Raw genomic sequence first — 20312 nt, 5'->3', positions numbered from 1 at the left:
CCTCTCCAGGGACTTGCTTTTGACTGCCACCTCCCCCTGACTCCTTTAGTCACCCCACTTTTGCTCTCTAAGTTTGCTATGTCTATGTCCCTCTGTCACACAGCTCCTATGTTTTATGGCTACCCAGTGGGGCTCTGTAGTCCTAAGGATCACCTTGGAGGTGACCAGGCGCCTGTTATCCTGCCTCTCATGATGATAATGATCATGGTGATCCTGTCTAGCACTTTGACAAAGCCAGGAGCCTGCATAAAGTTGCCCCCACCATAGTCAAGGACAGATTCAGGTCTCATGGTGCCTTGAGACTCTGCTGGGTTAGCTCATAGACTTTGTTGGTCTCTGGAATATATTCTACTTCTTTGCACATCAATCCATCTAATTATTGGTATTGCCCCAAAGGAACAGGTTGAGTAGCCCCATCCCCCTGCATGTCTCTATTGAGGGGCTACTCAATCTGTGGCTCAAGATGAGAGGCCAGGCTTTCCCATGCTGCAGCCTTGACTTTGCCCCATGCTTTGCATTCCTTCTTGGGGATTCACCTCCAGAGTGGTCATCAGAGCACAGCCATTTCAGCCACTCTTGGTGATGTCTGCAACCATTTGAGCTTGAAATTGTTCCTAGAGTACCACTAGCTTATTCTAACACTGGTTTCCAGCTTTCTTATACTTGGGTGAACAATATCAAAAAAAACTACGGCCTGATACACTACTGAATTTAAAGTCTTTGGGATGGAATTTGACAGACATGTGTCCATAAATGCTGACCTAAATTGCCCTATCATCCAGAGAGAAGCTAGCTTTTAATTGTTGTTCTTGGCATGTATAAGACTAGCTATTGAGAGCTTTGAACATGTTTATAAGATTCACAACATTGCTGGCTCTTTTCTACAAGGGGCTACATAGTGAAATTTATCTCCATGACTTGATATTGTAACCTCTATCAATATTAGGAACATATTAATATATATTATAATTACTATAATACTCATAATAATTATACATAAAATTACTATATATAAATTACTATTATTATTACAGCTATGATAAGTGCTTTCTGTACATTACCTCAGGTACCTTGAGAGGTAATTATTTTTTATCCCCTTTGTGAAATATAGTTCAGAGAAATTAAAAACCTTGGCCAAGGGCATATAACTAATTAGTTGCAGAGAGGCTAGAATCCAACCTCACTAGTTATTTGCTCTCATATCAAGAACAAGCTCATTAAATATCTCTGAATTTCTAGTACAGTGGCTGATCCATAGTAAGTGTTCAGTACTATTAGTTGACTCCGAAAGCATCCAATAGATACTGTTTGTTTATAACGTTTGTGCAAACGTAATCATATGCTGTAAAAGCAGTTTGCTAATAAAAGAATCCTTTTCTGGACACTTTTGTAAAGCTAGAGAGAATGCTCAACCATTGATTTACATCCTCTATGAGGAGATAATGAATTGTTTTTTTTCAAAGCAGTACATCTGCTTATACTGCCTTGCCACCCCCTTCTATTCTGCCTGAATTTTTTTTTTTTTTTTTTTTTGGAACAGAAGCTCACTCTGTCACCCAGGTGGAGTGCAGTGGCATGATCTCGGCTCACTGCAACCTCTGCCTCCCAGGTTCAAGAGATTCTCCTGCCTCAGCCTCCTGAGTAGCTGGGATTACAGGTGCCTGACACTGCTCCTAGCTAATTTTTTTATTTTAGTAGAGACGGGGTTTCACTATGTTGGCCAGGCTGGTTTCAAACTCCTGACCTCAGGTGATCCGCCTGCCTCGGCTGGCCTCCCAAGGTGCTGGGATTACAGGCGTGAGCCACCATGCCCAGCTATTCAGTCTCATGCTTTTTCTGAGGACATTTTCCTGGGCTGATTTTGTGAGATATAGTAGGTTGGTGCAAAAGTGATTGTGGTTTTTCCCATTACTTTTAATAGCAAAAACAGCAATTACTTTTGCACCAACCGAATGTGGCAGGATGGTGAAAGGAAAGAGTACTGGCTTAGAAGTGGGAAGATTCTATCTACTCATTTAACCACAAGGAGCCTTTGTTTCCTAATATTTAAAATGATGAAATTTTAAAAAATAGGAAGGACTTCTGGTTTCAGCTCCAACATATAAAAAGCTTGGAAGTCAGCACTTTTATCTTACAACAAGAAAAAAACGGACCAAACTGATTATCAATGGCTTTTCTTGGACCTGTCAGAGAATTGAGGTCACAGGGAAAACCACCACCTCAAAATCTAGAGAGACAGATGAATGCAGGAAATCACAGCTGAGATCTCCTTCCTGAAAGCAGAAGCGACAATGCCATATCAAATGTAGTAACTCTGAAGGATTGCTGGAAGCAGTGCATAGAGTAGTGTGAGAGTGAGAAACTCCTGGGAGCCACAGTCAGGGACCCCACATTTTGTTTAGGTTTTACCTCCAGCTACCCCACCGGGGTCTGACAATGAAAACCCAAGAAGTGCTCTCATGCTTCCAGCAGGGGAGGGGAAAAGTGACCACTCTGAAGCAGATCCAGAATGTTCTCCATAATAAGACCTACCACAGCAAGGGAAAAGATTGATCAGAGCCTCATCCAATATGAGGGGAGAGAAATAACCCAACTCCAGCTCCCTCTAGCCTTCCTGTGTCACCTAAGGGGAAACAAAATAGTTGAGAAACACTTGTAAAGGCCACCCCAGGTACACAGGCCTAAAAGAGACTTAACCATATGATAACAGAATGCTCCCACTATCCTTACGCCCTGCCACCACATCAACAGGTGTCCAGCGTAATAGCCAAAAGTTAGAGCTGAAAGAGCTGCAAGGCTTAGACTCTATATAAGAAGGAATGTTTAGGGAAACCCAAAGACAACAGCAGAGACAGAAACAAGGACACTAGTGGAAATTGAAGGCTTTGACACCTACAACTACAGCAAACATTAAACACAGCCCAACTCCTAGCCAAATTAATACAAAACCTCACACTAAAGGCCTGTTTATCTCAGCTTCTATTACTCAATACATCATGTCTGCTTTTCAACCAAATATTACAAGTCATGCTAGAAGGAGGAAAAAAACACAGTCTGAAGAGACAAAGAACCAGACTCAGATATGGGAGAGATTTTGGAATTATCAGACCAGGAATTTAAAATAATTATGATTAAAAAGTCAAACTCACAGAAGTAGAGTAGAATGGTGGCTACCAGAGGCCATAGAGGGGTGGGTAGATGGGGAAAGAGGAGATATTGGTAAACAAGTACAAAGTTTCAGTTAGATATGAGGAATAAATTCTGGTATTCTATTGCACAGCATGGTGACTGTAGTTAACATAAACGTATTGAATGTCCCAAAATAGCTAAGAGAGGATTTTTAAATGTTCTCACTGCAAAAAAATGATAAATATTTGAGGTGATAGATATGCTAATTAGCCTGATTTGATCATTTCACAATGTATACATGTACAGAAACATCACATTGTACTTCATAAATATATACAATTATTATTTTTCAATTAAAAATAAAATAAAACTTAAAATAATTATGGCTAATATGCTTAGATCTCTAATGGAAAAAGTAGACAACATCCAAGTATAGATGGGTAATGTAATCAGAGAAGTGGAAACTTACAAAGAACCTTTTAAAATGCTAAAAATAAAACAAAAAAAAAATGGTACCAGAAAGGAAGAATGTCTTGAATGGCCTCATCAATAGATTGGACAAAGCTGAGGAAGGAATTAGTGAGCTTGAAGATAATGTCAGTAGAAACTTCCCAAAATGAGATGCAAAGAGAAAAAAAGAGTGAAAAGAAAATAGAACAGGATATCTAAACTATGGAACATTTTCAAAAAATATAACATACACATACTGGAATACCAAAAGGAGAAGAAAGAGATAATGGAACTGAAAAAATATTTGAAATAATAATGACCAATAATTTTTCAAGATTAAGGAGACACCAAACCACAAATCCAAGAAACTCAGAGAACACCAAGTAGGGTAAATACCAAGAAATCTATACCTGGGTATGTCAAATTCACACTACGGAAAGCCAAAGATGAAGGAAAACCTTAAAAGCAGCCAGAGAGGGGAAAAACAAACTATGCAAACAAGAAGAAAGTGAAGTAAAATATTTAAAGTATTGAAAGAAAAAATCCCAGCAGTCTAGGATTCTATATCCAGAGAAATTCACTTCAAAGTGAAAGAGAAATAAAGACTTTATCAGGCAAACAAAAAATGAGGAATTCATTACCAGTAGTTCTGACCTGTAAGAAGTGTTTTTTAAAAGTTCTTCAGAAAGAAGTAAAGTGATTTAGGCCAGAAACTCAGATAATCTACATAAAGAAAGAAAGAATGTCAGAGAAAGAATAAATAGAGATAAAATAAAACTTTTTCTTTCTTTCTTTCTTTTATTTTTTATTTTGAGACAGAGTCTCGCTCTGTCGCTGGAGTACAATGGTGTGATCTCGGCTCACTGTACCCGTCGCCTCCTGGGTTCAAGCAATTCTCCTGCCTCAGCCTCCCGAGTAGCTGGGATTACAGGTGCCTGCCCCAACACCCAGCTAATTTTTGTATTTTTAGTAGAGACGAGGTTTCACCATGTTGGTCAGGCTGGTCTCAAACTCCTGACCTCATGATCCGCCCACCTCAGTCTCCCAAAGTGCTGGGATTACTGGCATGAGCCACCTCACCCGGCCCTATTTCTTTTTCTTAATTCCTCTAATAGATTAATTGTTCAAAGTAAACATAGGAACAGTGTATTGGGTGATTATGTTATATGGATAACTGAAATGAATGATAGCAGTATTATAAGAAATGGGAGGGAGGAATTGGGATTTCTGTTATAAGGTACCTATAATACCAACAAAGCTGTAAGTGTTATTTGAGAACGGACTTGGATTAGTTATGGATGTATTTTGCAACTCTGGAGAAACCACTAGAAATAATTGTAAAGGAGTATAATTGATATACTAATAGAGGAGAGAAAATGGAATCTCATAAAATACCCAGTTAAAACCAGAGAAGGCAGAGAGAGAGGGAGAAAGATGCAAGGAACAAGTGCAACAAATAGAAAATAGTTACATACATGGTAGATATTAATCCAACTATATCAATAATCACTTCAAATGTGAATGGTCTAAATATAAAAATTAAAATACAAAGATTTTCAGAGTGGATTAATTTACAAAAACAAGATGCAATTATATGTTGTTACAGATATATCAACAGTAAAGATTTGGAAAAAGATATTCCATACTAACACTAATCAAAAGAAAGCTGGACCAGCTATATTAATTTCAGACAAAGTGGACTTCAGAACAAGGAAAATTATCAGGGATAAGAAAGGGCATTTGGCTTGGCACAGTGGCTCATGCCTGTAATTCCAGCACTTTGAGAGCCCAAGGTAGGAGGACTGCTTGAGCCAAGAGCTCGAGACCAGCTTGGGCAACAAAGTGACACCTTATCTCTACCAAAAAAAAAAAAAAATTAGCCAGATGTAGCGGCAGGCACCTGTAGTTCCAGCTACTTGGAGGCTGAGGAGGGAGGATCGCTTGAGCCTAGGAGTTCAAAACCAGCTTGGGTAACATGATGAAACCCCATCTCTATAAATAATTTAAAAATTAGCCAGGCATAGTGGCATGCTCCTGTAGTCCCAGCTACTCCAGAGGCTGAGATGGGAAAATGGCTTGAGCCCAGGAGGTCAATGCTGCAATGAGCCATGATCTCTCCACTGCACTCCAGCCTGGGCAGCGGAGTGAGACTCTGCCTCAAAAAAAGAAAGAAAGAAAGGGCATTACATAATGATAAAGGGGTCAGTTATTCAAGAAGAAATTCTTAATATGTATGCATCTAACAAAAGAGCATCAAAATATGTGAGACAAAAACTGATAGAACTGCAAAGAGAAATCAACAAATTGACCATTATAGTTAAAGATTTTAATACATCTTTTAGTAGTTGATGGATCAAGCAGGCATAAAATTAGTAAGGACATAATTGACTGAACAGTTCCATTCATCAGCTTGCTCTAAATGATATTTATAGAATACTTCATCCAACAACAACAGAGTATATATTCTTCTTGACATCACATGGAACATTCACCAAAATACACCACATTCTGAGCCATAAAACACTCCAAAATAAATTTAAAAGAATAGAAATTATACAATCTATGCTCTCAAACCACAATGAATTAAACTAGAAATTAATAACAGAAAGCATGGAAAATTCCAAAATATTTTCAGATTAAATAACATAATACTAAATAACACATGGGTCAAAGAAGAAACTCCAGAGAAATTTTAAAATAATTTAAATGAAAATGAAAATGCAACTTATCAAAATTTCTGGGATGCAGCAAAAGCAGTGCTTAGAGGAAAATTTATACCATTGAATGCATATATTAGAAAAGAAGAAAAGTCTAAAATCAATAATCTAAAAATCCACCTGAGGAAACTAGAAAAGGAAGAGTAATTTATGCCTACAACAAACAGAAAATAAATAATATAAATTTTGGCAAAAATTGATGAAATTAAAAATAGGAAATCAGTAGAGGAAACACAATGAAACCAAAAGCTGGTTCTTTGAAAAGATCAATAAATCTGATAAACCTCTAGCCAGACTAACCAAGAAAAAAAAAAGAGAAAACACAAATTACTAATATTATAAAAGAAAATTGGGCTAGGCTTAGTGACTCACACCTGTCATCCCAGCACTTGGGAGGCTGAGGTGGGAGGATCACTTGAGGCCAAGTGTTCAAGACCAGCCTGGGCAACATAATGAGACCCCATCTCTACAAAAAATTTGAAAATTAGCCAGGCATCATGGCACGTGCCTGTAGTCCTAGCTACTCAGGAGGCTGAGGCAGGAGGATTGCTTAAGCCCAGGAGTTGGAGGTACAGTGAGCTATGGTTGTGCCACTGCATTCCAGCCTGGGTCACAGAGAGAGGCCCTGTCTCCCTGAAAAAAGAGAAAAGAAAATGAGATCATCATTACTAATCCCATGGACATAAAAAGAAAAGGCTACAAACAATTCTGTGCACACAAATTTGGATAAATTAGATGAGGTGGGCTAATTCTTTGAAAGACACAAACTATACCAAAACTCGCACAAGGAGAAATAGATGAACTGAATAGGCCTATATCAATTTAAAATTTCAATCAATAATTAATAACCTTCCAAAAAAGAAAGCACCAAGCCCAGGTTGTTTCACTGGTAAATTCTACCAAACATTTAAAGAAGAAATGATACCAGTTCTCTACAATCTCTCCCAGAAAATAGAAACAGAGGGAGTACTTGCAAATTCATTCATTGAGGCCAGCATTACCCTCATAAAAAAACCAGAAAGACAAAGTTGGAGGACTGACACTGCCCAATTTCAAGACTTACCATATGAAGACATTACAAGGAAAGGAAACTGTAGACCAAAATCTCTCAAAAACATAAATCCAAAAATCTTCATCAAAATATTAGCAGAGCAAATCCAACAATGTATAAAATGAATTATACACCACAATCAAGTGAGATTTATTCCAGATATGAAAGGCTGACTCAACAATTAAAAATCAATTTATGTAAATAATCACATCAAGAGGCTAAAGAAGAAAGTCCTGTGATCATATCAATAGATGTAGCAGAAGCATTTGGCAAGGTCTAGCATGCATTCATGTAAAACTCTCAGCAAACTAGGAATAAAAGGGAATTTCCCAACTTGATAAAGAGTGCCTACAGAAAGCCTACAACTGACATACTTAATGGTGAGAAACTGGATGATTTCCCTCTAAGATAAGGAAGAAGGAAAGAATGTCCTGTCTCACCACTCCTATTCAACATTGTGCAGGAAGTCCTTGCTAGTGCAGCAAGATAGGAAATAAAAGGTATGCAGATTAGAAAGAAAAATTAAAACCATCTTACATGATTGTCTATATGGAAAATCTCAAAGAATCAACATAAACTCATGGAAATAATAAGTGATTATAGCAAGGTTGGAAGATACAAAGTAAATATACAAAAGTCAATTGTTACCAGTAATGAACCATTAGAATTTGAAATTAAAACACAATACCATTTACAGTTGCACCAAAAAAAATAAATACTTAGTCATAAATCTATCAAAATATGTACAGGATCTATACAGAGAAAGGAGATATAAATTAATGGAAAGATTATTCCATATTCATAGATTGGAAGATTCAGTATCAATATGTCCAGTCTTCCTGACTTGATCTATAGATCTATAGATTAAACACAATCTCAACTAAAATCTCAGCAAGGTACTTTGTGTATGTCAACAAACTGATTCTACAGTTCATGTGGAAAAGCAAAGGACCCACAATAGACAACACAACACTGAAAGACAAAGTTGGAGGACTGACACTGCCCAATTTCAAGACTTACTGTAAAGCTACAGTAATAAATATAGCATGGTACTGGTGAAAGAATAGACACATAAGTCAATGGAACAGAATAGAGAGCCCACAAATAGACCCCCAAACAAATACAGTCACTGATCCATGACAAAGGACAAAGGCAATTCAATAGAGAAAGATAGTCTTTCCAACAAATGGTTGTGGAACAACTGGATTTTCACATGCCAAAAAAAAAAAAATAGACACAGACACAGAACATACAATACACCTTTTAGAAAAATTAATTCGAAATGAATCTTGGGCCTAAATGAAAAATGCAAAACTGTAAGACTTTGAGAAGATAACATAGGAAAAAAATATAGGTTTACTTGTATTTGATGATGGGTTTTTAGATATGGTACCAAAAGCATGATCCATGAGAGAAAATATAAATAAGATAGATTTTATTGAAATTAAAAACTGCTATGGAAAAGATACTGTTAAGAGAATGAGGCCAGGCATGGTGGCTCAAGCCTGTAATCCCTGCACTTTGGGAGGCCGAGGTGGGCAGATCACTAGGTCAGGAGATCGAGACCATCCTGGCTAACACGATGAAACCCCGTCTCTACTAAAAAATACAAAAAATTAGCTGGGTGTGGTGGCGGGTGCCTGTAGTCCCAGGTACTCGGGAGGCTGAGGCAGGAGAATGGCGTGAACCCAGGAGGAGGAGCTTGCAGTGAGCCGAGATCACGCCACTGCGCTCCAGCCTGGGCGACAGAGCGGGACAACATCTCAAAAAAAAAAAAAAAAAAAAAAAAAAAAGAATAAAAAAACAAGCCAGACTTGGAGAAAATATTTGCAAACACATATATCTGATAAAGGACTTGTATCCAAAATATACTTAAAACTCAACCACGAGAAAACAACTCATTAAAAATGGCAAAAGATCTGGATTAACTTATGTAATTAATTACACATGTAATTAATTAATTCCTACTAAGGAAAACTTACAGATGGCAAATATGCATATGAAAAGGAGCTCATCATCTCATCGTGTCATTAGAGAATTAAGGCAATAATAAGATAACACTACACACCTATTAGAATAGCTAAAATTCAAAAAACTGACAATACCAAATACTGATGACAATGTGGAGTAGCAGGAACTCTCGTTGTTGGGAATGCAAATAATGGTAAAGCTATTTTTGAAGGCTGTTTGGCAGTCTCCCACAAAGCTAAACATAGGCTTACTATATAATCACTCTACCGGGTATTTACCCAGTTAAATTGAAAACCTACATTCACACAAAAACCTGCATGCAAATATTTACAGCACCTTTATTCATAATTGCCCAAAACTGGTAGCAACCAAGATATCCTTTAAAAGCTGGATAAATAAACTGTGGTACATTCATGCAATGGAATACTATTCAATAATAAAAAGAAATAAGCTATTGTGTCATGAAAAAACATGGATGAACTTTGGTGAAACAAGTCATAGTGAAACAAACCAATGTGAAAAAGCTACATACTGTATGGTTTCAATTATATGACATTCTGAAAACCACAAAACTATAGAGACAGCAAAACAATCAGTGGTTTGAGGGGAAGAGAGGAAAATAAATAGGTCAGGAATTCTGGAGTAGTAAAATTAATTTGTGTAATATTGTATTTGTGGGTACAATATATTATGCATTTGTCAAATGTCATAGAGCTGTACAGCACAAAAACCGGACTTCAAAATAGGAACATTTTTAAGAATCATTTAGGAGGTTGGGGGATTCCAGGGAGAAATGCAGACTGTGCAAGGGGATCTAACTGCATTAAAAATATGGAAAACAACCTCACTGAAGGGTAGAGAGGGGAAAAGTATCGCCCCCTCTTTAAGTAACTTTGGAAATGAGCAGAGTCTGTAAGATGAAGGCAATAGGAACTGCAAAAAAGTACTGTATTCCACTTGATAAAATTGTTCCCCGTGGGGATACAAATTAACAATTATCATACTGCTGTGTATGTACACAGGAATTGAACAATTAAGTAAATAGCAGCTAGTGGGAGCCAGGTTACTTACTGTTGGAATGCGAGTTTACAGAAAAGCAAGGGATGGAAGTTAGAAAAAAAGTAGGAAGTGCACTTATAGTAATATGTGTAAAAGCTTTGTATACTGCATGTATTATTATTTATGCATATTATTTTTACCCTGAAGGTATTATTCATTATAAAGGATTATTATTTTCACATTCTTTTATGCATAATTCAGATCATGTACTTAAAGAGGACACAGACTAATTCAAAAAGCTCAGAATATTTTCAGATACAACTTTTTAACAAGTATGCCCGTCTTCTGAGGTGGTCTTTTAAATTTGTCTAGATAGATTATGTTCTGCGGTCTGTAGGAGCTGTGTACATCAGAGCAGCTTATTATAAATACCTAAAGCAAAAGAAATGGTTTATTTAGAAAATAAAGTATAGAAATATAATGTTAACTGCTCCTGTGTGATGTCAAAAGTGGAAAGAAGGTGGGAAATTCTTATTTCATGTGGGATACTACTAAATACCTGGATGTTTTCAAGTAGTCGCATTTTTAGCACAGCATAGTCCAAGCATCCGGGTATTTGAATTTTTCCCTTTCCAGCTGGTAATCTTGATATGTTATAGATGTAGGCAAAGCCTCAAAGTTAAATCATTTCCAAATGCTTTGAACAGCATTTAACTAGAAATAAAATTTCATTCAACATCACCCTCTCCACCTTCTTTTATGTGCAGTTACTTTCCGTATCTGCAGCAAGTAGACAGAAGAGTGCCAAAAAAGAATCCTTCTCTGACTTCACAAATCAGTAGAAGGCCTGATGACTACATGCCCAGAACTTGGGTTTCAGACACACTATTAACTTGCCTCAATACAGTGCAAATAATTTTCCAGATTGAAGCATTGCTCTATTTAAATCAACCTTCCTGCCTATTAATAGCTGTGAAATACTAGAAAATATTACTGGGCCAATAAAGCATTGTGTCTGCTCAAATCTTTTTAAAATGAGGCAAGACACAAATACATACATACTTAAATACATATGTATATAACATTGCAGAACCTCCTTTAAAAGTTTAAATAACAAAATCAGCCATCTAGATTGATGTGGAGATTAAAAAAAGTGAACCAACTGAATTTCTAAGGAACCTTTGTATGCCAATATTCCATTTCCATATTTTCTTCTTCTTCTTTGTTTTTTGTTTTTTGTTTTTGTTTTTTTTTTTTGAGACAGAGTCTTGCTCTGTTACCCAGGCTGTAGTACAGTGGCAGGATGTCGGCTCACTGCAACCTCCGCTTCCCAGGTTCAAACAACTCTCACGCTTCAGCCACCCAAGTAGCTGGGATTCCAGGCGTGTGCCACCTCGCCCAGCTAATTTTTGTATTTTTAGTAGAGATGGGGTTTCACCATGTTGCCCAGGCTGGTCTCAAACTTCTGGCCTCAAGGGATCCACCCATCTCGGCCTCCCAAAGTCCTCAGATTACAGGCATGAGTCACCACGTGCCAACCCATACTTTCTTCCTACTTGCTTTATATTCACACTCTCCTTCATTGTCTTTTACTAATAGCAGCATTGTTTCCTGGGTATTTTTTTATGATAATTTTCTGCTTACCTCTGAGCACACCACTGCCCTCCCTCCACCATCCCACCACCCTCCACACACAAATGATTGCAGATAGTTTGGGATTTGCAGTGCAGAGGAAATGAACACACATAATTTATTTATTTTTTTCTTTTTTTCCTTGTTTCCTTCCTTCCTTCCTTCCTTCCTCCCTCCCTCCCTCTCTCTCTTTCTTTCTCTTTCCTTCTTTCTTTTAATATTGCATGGCCCATTCATCATTCTGTACAATTAGCCAAATGAAAGGTATCTTTGTTTTAGCTTGATCTGTAATTCTTTTCAGATTCATTATGTGCATGGCAACACAAAGAAACCATGGTACTTTTGGGCAGCATCTGATTCATCAGGAAATTCCTCCTGCTATGATATGTGGTTGGGGAGAACGTGAGTGATGTGATCCAGATGCATGAGCCACCCGTTGCCAGTAGTGCAGATGTGTTTTATACACACATGCCCAGATGGTGACCCCTGTGGCATTATTAATGAGTTCCAGATGCCAGGCTTCCTTCTTTGCATGTATGTGCCTCGATTTCATATATTTCATGTGTTTATTTATGAGGGACAGCATTCCTACATTTCATATATGGCAGTTACTATTTAAAATGAGAAATTTTAACTGCTCTGGAAATTGATAAAGAATCTTTTAAATTGATATGAAATGTGTCTCTCATTTCAAAATGACTAGCCATGCAATCACTGAATTCACAGAGCAAATTACTGAACTTTCCCTTCATATATTGAGAAAATATGGTGCTGAGTTACATTTTAAAGATAGTTAAGAAATAAAATATTTGCACACATAATACATTCTAATGATTTTTTGCTTTCTTTTCCTTTTTGATCTCCAAAGCCTATTTTTAAAAGTACAATGTCTGTACATTGAACATTGTTACTCACTATTAATTAAATCTAGGCATCAAGAGAAATTTGACATCTTCTAGAAATTGTTCATACTTATGGATTTACAGGAAGAGAACTGGTTTTATTAAAATATAGTCCAGCTGTGGCTCCAAACTATCATGGATTGTAACTCCATGGATTAGAAGAAATTGATTAGTCTTATATTTTGGCTTAGATCTAAAGTATAAAATATAAGAGCATAGTAGTTCCACTGAATTAAAATGAACCAACTCAAGTTTTTATTTTAAAAAACTCCAGTATTTTATGGGGAAATAAAAAAATGAAACAAATTCTTAAAATAGAAAGAGGAAAAATGCAAACGACAGATGATCAGACTTTGAAAGATGAAGTTCATGTCCATTTCCTTCTTTACTACCAGAAGTAATGATCTTTTAAGTCAGCAAATGTATAATTTATGATAAAGAACTATCTCCAAAATCAGCTACAGAAAATAAATGACCAATATGCTGATAAGATTTTTGTTAAGGTGCTACCCACTTTTTTTTTTTTAAGACAGGGTCTAACTCTGTCACCCGGTGCAGTGTCATGATCTCAACTCACTGCAGCCTTGACCTCAAGGGCTCAGGTGGTCCTCCCACCTCAGCCTTCTGAGTAGCTGGGACTACAGGCACATACCACCACGTCTGGCTAATTTTTGTAGAGACAGGGTTTGGCCATGTTGCCCAGGCTGGTCTCAAGCTCCTGAGCTCAAGAAATTCATCCACCCCCGCCTCCCAAACTGCTGGGATTACAGGCATGAGCCACCACACCAGGCCATGGTGCTGCATACTTTTACTGTCAATAGCAGAGGGTCAAAGTTGCTGAATGCTTAAGTAAGCACATCTTGAGTCTTGGTTACTTAGCATATGGTTTCGGGTCCTCTTGAAAACTATTCTACTTCCTTAAGTAAAGCTTGTTTTTCCTATTTGTGTATGTGTATTTATCTCAATTACATAAAGGTGCTAACTCATTCATTTTCCACACCCACAAAGTAGGATGGAAATTTAAAGCAGTTATCTGATAAATGGAGGCAAGATTAGTGGATTTTTTTCCCTGAAAGTATTCCTTGAAGTTAAAAAACAAAAATTGAAGTTATAGGATTTGTTCCCGAACTCCTCAGATACTCACCTCAGACTTGCTCCGTGTGTGTTTTTGTTTAAGTGCATATCTATGATAACAACTCTAGGGTTCTCTGAAAGAAGATTCAGAGCAATTCTAAGAAGACTTCAGATCATTTATGAGGATGGAGCAATCAAAGGAGAATGGTGAGCCTGGGAAATGTCTTCTTATCTGACATTGAAAGAAGAATGGCTGTGGTCTTGCCTTTCTCATTTCTATCTTGAAGTCCTGTCCAAGAGCTTTGGTTATTGACCTTAGACTATTATCACCAAGACCTGTTTAAAGGATCCAACAATATATCCATAGACTCTTTTGTTCTAAGCCTCCCTTTTCTATTGCAAAGATTGAGAAGGTAAAGAAAACAAATGGCAGCAGCCTTTTTAATACTCAGGATGATGAATATGCGATAAGCAAGCTCTAACCACTCTTCCCACATTGCTGGCAGACTTCATTAACTGATTATAAGACTCTACCACTGAACCAGGATCCAGGCTCAGAATCCTCAACAGAGCGCTGCAGGCTACCACTAAAAATTAGTTAACGTACACCCTTGAGACAAAACCCTCTTTGCCGTTCCCCTTATGTTCATTCTGAGCAAATAATAGGTGTTTAGTCTGAATGCGAGAAAACATAAAAGACCAAAGGATATTGCTATTGATTAAAGCTGTCTGCTTTTCCCAAGAGGGGTGACTAGCTGGTACTAGGCCTGCTTCGAGGAGTAGGAGTATAGCTATGGTAACCATATCACATCAGTGACCCACAGACAGTCAGTTCACTCTGCCCTGCTCCCTGACCTATGGGAATGGGACCAGATTAAAGGACCCTCTGAAGGCTACTTGGACTCAGGTCAATGGCACAGATCACAAAAGGTTTATGCACCAAACGAACAGGAAACCTTGCAGAGTGCCCTGGGACTGCAGGCAGAAGACATCCCAGGGGCTTCTCTGAAACTCTGACCTCCACTTCCTCCTTTGACATTGCTGTCACTTTCGTATGGATACATGACAGTAACAAAGCCCCTGGGCTCTGTGTAGTGCAGTATGGTTTTCAGAGTGCTTTCCATTCCTGATCTCGTTTGATCCCCGCCTCAGTGAGTGCAGGGAAGCAGTGCAAGCATCTGTACCCCCAATTATACAACTAAAGTGAGGCTCCCTTGTCCAAAATCACATCTCTATGGAGGCCCCAAAGGCCTTTAATCTAAAATTGTCAGATGAAAGGAAGTGACAGAGGGCGGGTATTTTGGATTGTTTCCCATTGGAATTTTCAGATAATTGTGCCCATACTCCCCATAGCCTGGCCTGTCTAGGGAAGCTTACAGTTTGATGGTGAACCAGTTGCATGGTACAGACATGATGGTGAAGGTGGTTCTCCCAGCAATGCTTCAGACTCATTTAATAGTGGAGATGCCATTCAGGCACTTGGTCATTGAAAGATACTTCCTGTTCATTTCTCTGACAGCTGGTGACCTTGTTGCAGATGTGGGTTGTCCCCTTATATTTCACGATAAAATTATACTGGTGGCGGTTTCTGTCTATGTGGGGGATGTTCTCCGTTATTACCAGTTACATCCTCTTCAGAGCTACCCGAAAACCCCTCTCAGGAAGGACACCACGGTATGTATTCCATACATTCCTTCCCCAGGAGCCCCTTTATTTTAAATATTACAAAGCATATTTTATTGCCATTTTCCTGGGTTGGGGAGTGGGGGGGTTACATTTCTTTTACGTGTCTTTTACCTTTGGTAGCAAAACAATTGAGAAATTAGCTACACTGGTCTTAGTTTGCCTTCATTATTTAATAGCAATTCAGATATGCATGTAAAATTTATTACTTCAAATATTAGCTAGTGAAATGCAGAAGAAAGAAGTGAAACTATTGTTTAAAATTTCTAGAGCATTATTTGCAAGTTTATTTTTACCTCAGCATTTTTCTTTATTCCACTATAAGTTGTGTCACACATTTTAAAATAGAGCAAGAGTTGAAAGTTGTGTTTCAACCTGAAAACATGTAATAAATCATAAGTCATGGACAACTTATTACTCTAATAACAAATGATGGTTTAATATTCCAATGGTCACTTTAATTACCATTGTCAGCTTCCAAAGATTTGTATAACTCCGTTGTATCATTCACAAATCCTTCCAAAGTGCTTATCATCACATACTGTGCCCACAGGCTTGCTTTTGCCCTCCCTGTTCTGTGGATAAAATCCATATCCTCATCATGATAAAACTGGAATGAGATAAAGTGTGTAAAATGTAAAATAGTGATAAAACAATGCTAAATTTGACCTTTTGGAAGAATAAATCATAAGCTTCAGTGAAATACTTTTATGATTATTTAGACATTTGTCTTCATCCTCTAAAAAAGTAGGAAACATGTATATCAACTTTTCCTTCAAGTTAGGAGAAGGAAAAATATCCAATGAGAAATCAGATAAATAAATGTGATGATAAAAATGGATATCCAAATACATGAATTCATGTTATGAGTATTTTAGTTCAGTTCCACTAAACTAAAGAGGAAGAGGTCTGGGTGGTGGTAGGAGACCTTATAAACTGGCCAATTTGGGATCTTGGACAGCCCTTGTAGTGTCTGGCTTATCAATCAGTAAAGTGAATGTATGGTACCTTTCTCCTTAGAAAATATTCTAAGTTATTTAAGATTTGTGAAAGTGCTCTGAGTTTGGGATGAATCAAAATGTGCTTGTTTTCATCCCCTGGATATAATCTATGTTGTATTTCCATGAGAATGGTTCGCCTATCCACTGTAGAATGAATTACCCCATCTAAAGGCAGTGTCTTTGTGCACATCAGTTCGTGCAATGCAGAGGAACTTTATTACAAGAAATACCCAAATGCTGCCTCATTACCCTTTATGGCTTGCATATGTCCGCTCTCTTTCCCATGCCCAAAGCATGTCCTCTCAGCTTCTTCCTGCCTGCACAACTCCAAGCCCTAGAGGATAGTCTGAGAGTCAAGAGGCTCCACTGACTTTATAAAGCAAACTCAGCTGCCATTTGAAGAGACATCACTGAGCAAGGTGAAGTAGGGCCTCTTCTAGAAGAGCAGTCAGGATGGAGCTCCTGTACATAAGAGGCAATAGGCCCCAGAATTACCATGGATCTTTGCTTAATTATTGTATTACAGGTGAGTCACATTTTAACTATCTTCCATTTGGAAGCAGAGGATTTCATTACAGGCTAGGGGAGCTGGATGAAGAAATCAGCATTGCTGTAGAAGGCAGACCCATGAGCAGTGGTCTCCAGCACCAGCAGTTCAAAGCCTACTATTTCTCTTTGAGAGCACATCAAGCTCTTGTTTCAGGATGGGGTGCCCAAAGAAGGGGAAGTGAGTTTCCTCTCAACTACAGTTGGTTTGTCTGGCAAGCAGTGAAGTTCAGGGTCAGAAATAAGCCACACATGCAATGGCTCACGCCTGTAATCCCAGCACTTTGGGAGGCCGAGGTGGGTGGATCGCCTGAGGTCAGGAGTTTGAGACCAGCCTGGCAAACATGGTGAAGTCCTGTCTCAACTAAAAATACAAAAAGTAGCTGGGTGTGGTGGCAGGTGCTTGTAATCCCAGCTACTCGGGAGGCTGAGGCAGGAGAATCACTTGAACCCAGAGGCAAAGGTTGCAGTGAGCCAGGGTCACGCCACTGCACTCCAGCCTGGGCAACAGAGCAAGACTCCACCTCAAAAACAAAACAAAACAAAAACAAAACACACACACACACACACACACACATACACACACTAGCCACAAAGAGCTGGGCTTGATCACATTGAATCCAGCCCAAGGCCAAGCTTTCCTTTTGGAGGCTGCTCTGAAGCAGTTAAACAATCTCCTATCTGGCTTATCTGCCTTACAGTGTAAGTCTGGGTAGCAAGGAAATTCTGGACTCTACTGTTCCTGAAAATAGGTACCCGCAATAAGCAGGAAAATGGCAGGAGAAGTGGGGCTTGAGATTTGGAAAACTGAACACATCCATAACAGTGATATGACATATTGAGCATTTAGTGTGCCAAGTCAATAAACATCAATACATTAGCTCACACAACCTTCAGAACAACTTTAGGAGCTAGTGTTATCCTCATGTTATAAATTAGGCAATCATAGGAAGGAATGCCAAGTAAATTGACCAAAGTCCCATGGGCAGTAAGCAGCAAAGCCTTGGATCAGACCAAAGAACTACTTGGCTGCAAAGCTCCTGCTCCCAACAGCATGCTATGGCTTCATTAATTCAACAAACCGCTTTGCACAGAGAAACCCTGCAGTTTAAAGGTTATTAGTCCTAAAACATCTCTAATGCTGGCGGAAGTTTGAGAGAGGCCCCTTAAGGCAGGGAAATGGGTCACCAGTGTGTGCGGAGTTCAAGGAACCATATTCTGGTACTGGCAGGTGTTGGGGGCCTAGTAGAGGGGACCCTCTCAGAGCTTGCCTGTTTCTCCACCATCACCACTTTTAGCAACATAAACTTCCGCCTTGATCTGGCTGCCCTGAGCAATGATCTAAACTGCTCAGTACTGACAAATGAAAAGAACCCATGGCTCAAGAGTCACTGTGGCAGAAAGACGCCAAAAGCCTTCTCTGGCTTCCTTTTGAGGCCACACAGCCTCACAGTAATTTCAGCCAACTTCTGCAGCCCATGCAAGTTTCTGTCTCCACTTAACTCACCCCTGCCCACTCCCCCACGCAGTTCACCCCTGCCCACTCCCCCACGCAGCTCACCCCTGCCCGCTCCCCCACGCAGCTCACCCCTGCCCGCTCCCCCACGCAGCCTACCCCTGCCCGCTCCCCCACGCAGCTCACCCCTGCCCGCTCCCCCACACAGCTCACCCCTGCCCGCTCCCCCACGTAGCTCACCCCTGCCCACTCCCCCACGTAGCTCACCTCTGCCTGGTCCCCCACGTAGCTCACCCCTGCCTACTCCCCCCTGGGGCAGGATCACACCTGGTGGAGTAGGTGGCAGCACAGACAGCCCTTGAATATCAGTTGCTTCAAGTGCAGAAGGTGGTTCACCATAGAAGTGATGTAAATGACAACACATTTCAGGAGCTAGCCCACAACCCATTTAAACCATGATGTTCAGAAGGTCCCTTCTGACTGGAACTCAGTGAAATAGAGCACCTATTAAAATCATATTGAAACCTTATGCTAGTAATATCATAGATCTTAAGTATTTGGTGCAATGGCTCCAACAGGGAGTGAGCTGGGGAAGGTGAAAGAGTCAGAGACAGGGCTCAGGACTTGGGGGTGAGAGGGTGGGGCTAAACATCTGGAGCAAGACTCTTAATGCAGTTTGGAGTGAAAAGCAGGAAAGAGACTCCAAGAGGATGTGCAGGGAAAGGGATGTGAGGCAAACAGGGCCTTCTGCCATTGCACACCCTTGTAAGCAGCTTTCTAGCCACCTCTTCATTTTCTTTGAGCAACAAAGATAAGCCCCCAGCTTTTCCATCCACTACCTCTTGTACCAATGGGCATAGCCCCTCTGCTGTGGCCCTCCAAGAATGGAACTGGGCTCCCAACCTCTTCCCCCATCCTCCTAGACATGAAGCTGGTCACATGGTCCTTCTTGTAGTTTTTTTCTAAGGGCCTTTACTGCCAATGAAGAAGGAAACCAGCAGAGGGGAGGGCTTCCTTCTAGATTCTCTCCACTCGCCCTCCATCCTCATCCTTTTCCTTCTCCACTTAGACCCTTTGGGAACAAGGAAAGGCCTTGGAAGGTCACAGAGGGTGCTGGGGTACACGCAGGACCCTTCCACACAGCAGAAGGAAATAGCCTGGGGCTCTCATCATTTCATCCCCTGGGCTAGGGGAGGGCTCTTTGGGTGGAGGGGACATGGGATGAGGGCTGGGCCCACTACTGGTGATATCTGCACTGGGGCTGGGGGAAAAGGGGCAACAGAACAAGAGGGAAGAAAAACTCCTGGGGAAGAAGTTCTGGACTCCCCTTTGACTTCTCATCCCACTTTTTGTTCACCTCCAAGGCACTCCTGCTGAAACCACTCAAGGTTAACCCTAGGACCAAATGAGAAGGGGGCGCTGTGGGGAGGCAGGGTCCCAGGAAGAGTAACCATTCCTGAAGGCTATTTTTAAGTGAAGCACATGAGGGACGTAGACAAATTTAAAAAGAATTCACATACGCATATACACAGAAACACATGAGCATGATAGTTCTATTCATATAATGCTTATTGCTATATACATCTGTGTTCTGTGTGTTATAAATTTACTTTTAGAAACTAAAAACTGATTTATAAGTCTTTGAAAAAGACAAAATATTTTATAATATTACTGTGTTTCTCCCCATTTTTCTGTGTTTCT

General features: G+C 39.6%; 1 protein-coding gene across 8 annotated transcripts in view; it reads left to right on the top strand.

Annotated features, from left to right (window-relative positions):
• RNF175 (ring finger protein 175) overlaps nucleotides 1–20312 on the top strand; it is a 49865-nt gene that overhangs the window by 16219 nt on the left and 13334 nt on the right. For 5 of the 8 annotated variants that reach the window (XM_005262939.4, XM_005262938.4, NM_173662.4 and 2 more), the window contains one exon: nucleotides 15445–15599. The exons of 2 other annotated variants lie outside the window; for them this stretch is intronic. In XM_005262939.4, the coding sequence (XP_005262996.1) occupies nucleotides 15445–15599 (155 nt within the window). Of the gene's footprint in view, nucleotides 1–983; nucleotides 14133–15444; nucleotides 15600–20312 lie in introns of those variants that run through there. One more of the 8 variants, XM_005262940.5, reaches the window with a different exon arrangement.

Source organism: Homo sapiens, chromosome 4, assembly GCF_000001405.40.
Source record: "Homo sapiens chromosome 4, GRCh38.p14 Primary Assembly".
Classification (NCBI taxonomy): Eukaryota; Metazoa; Chordata; class Mammalia; order Primates; family Hominidae; genus Homo; species Homo sapiens.
The sequence above is the reverse complement of the archived record's forward strand: the minus strand, read 5'-3'. Positions and strand labels throughout refer to the sequence as shown.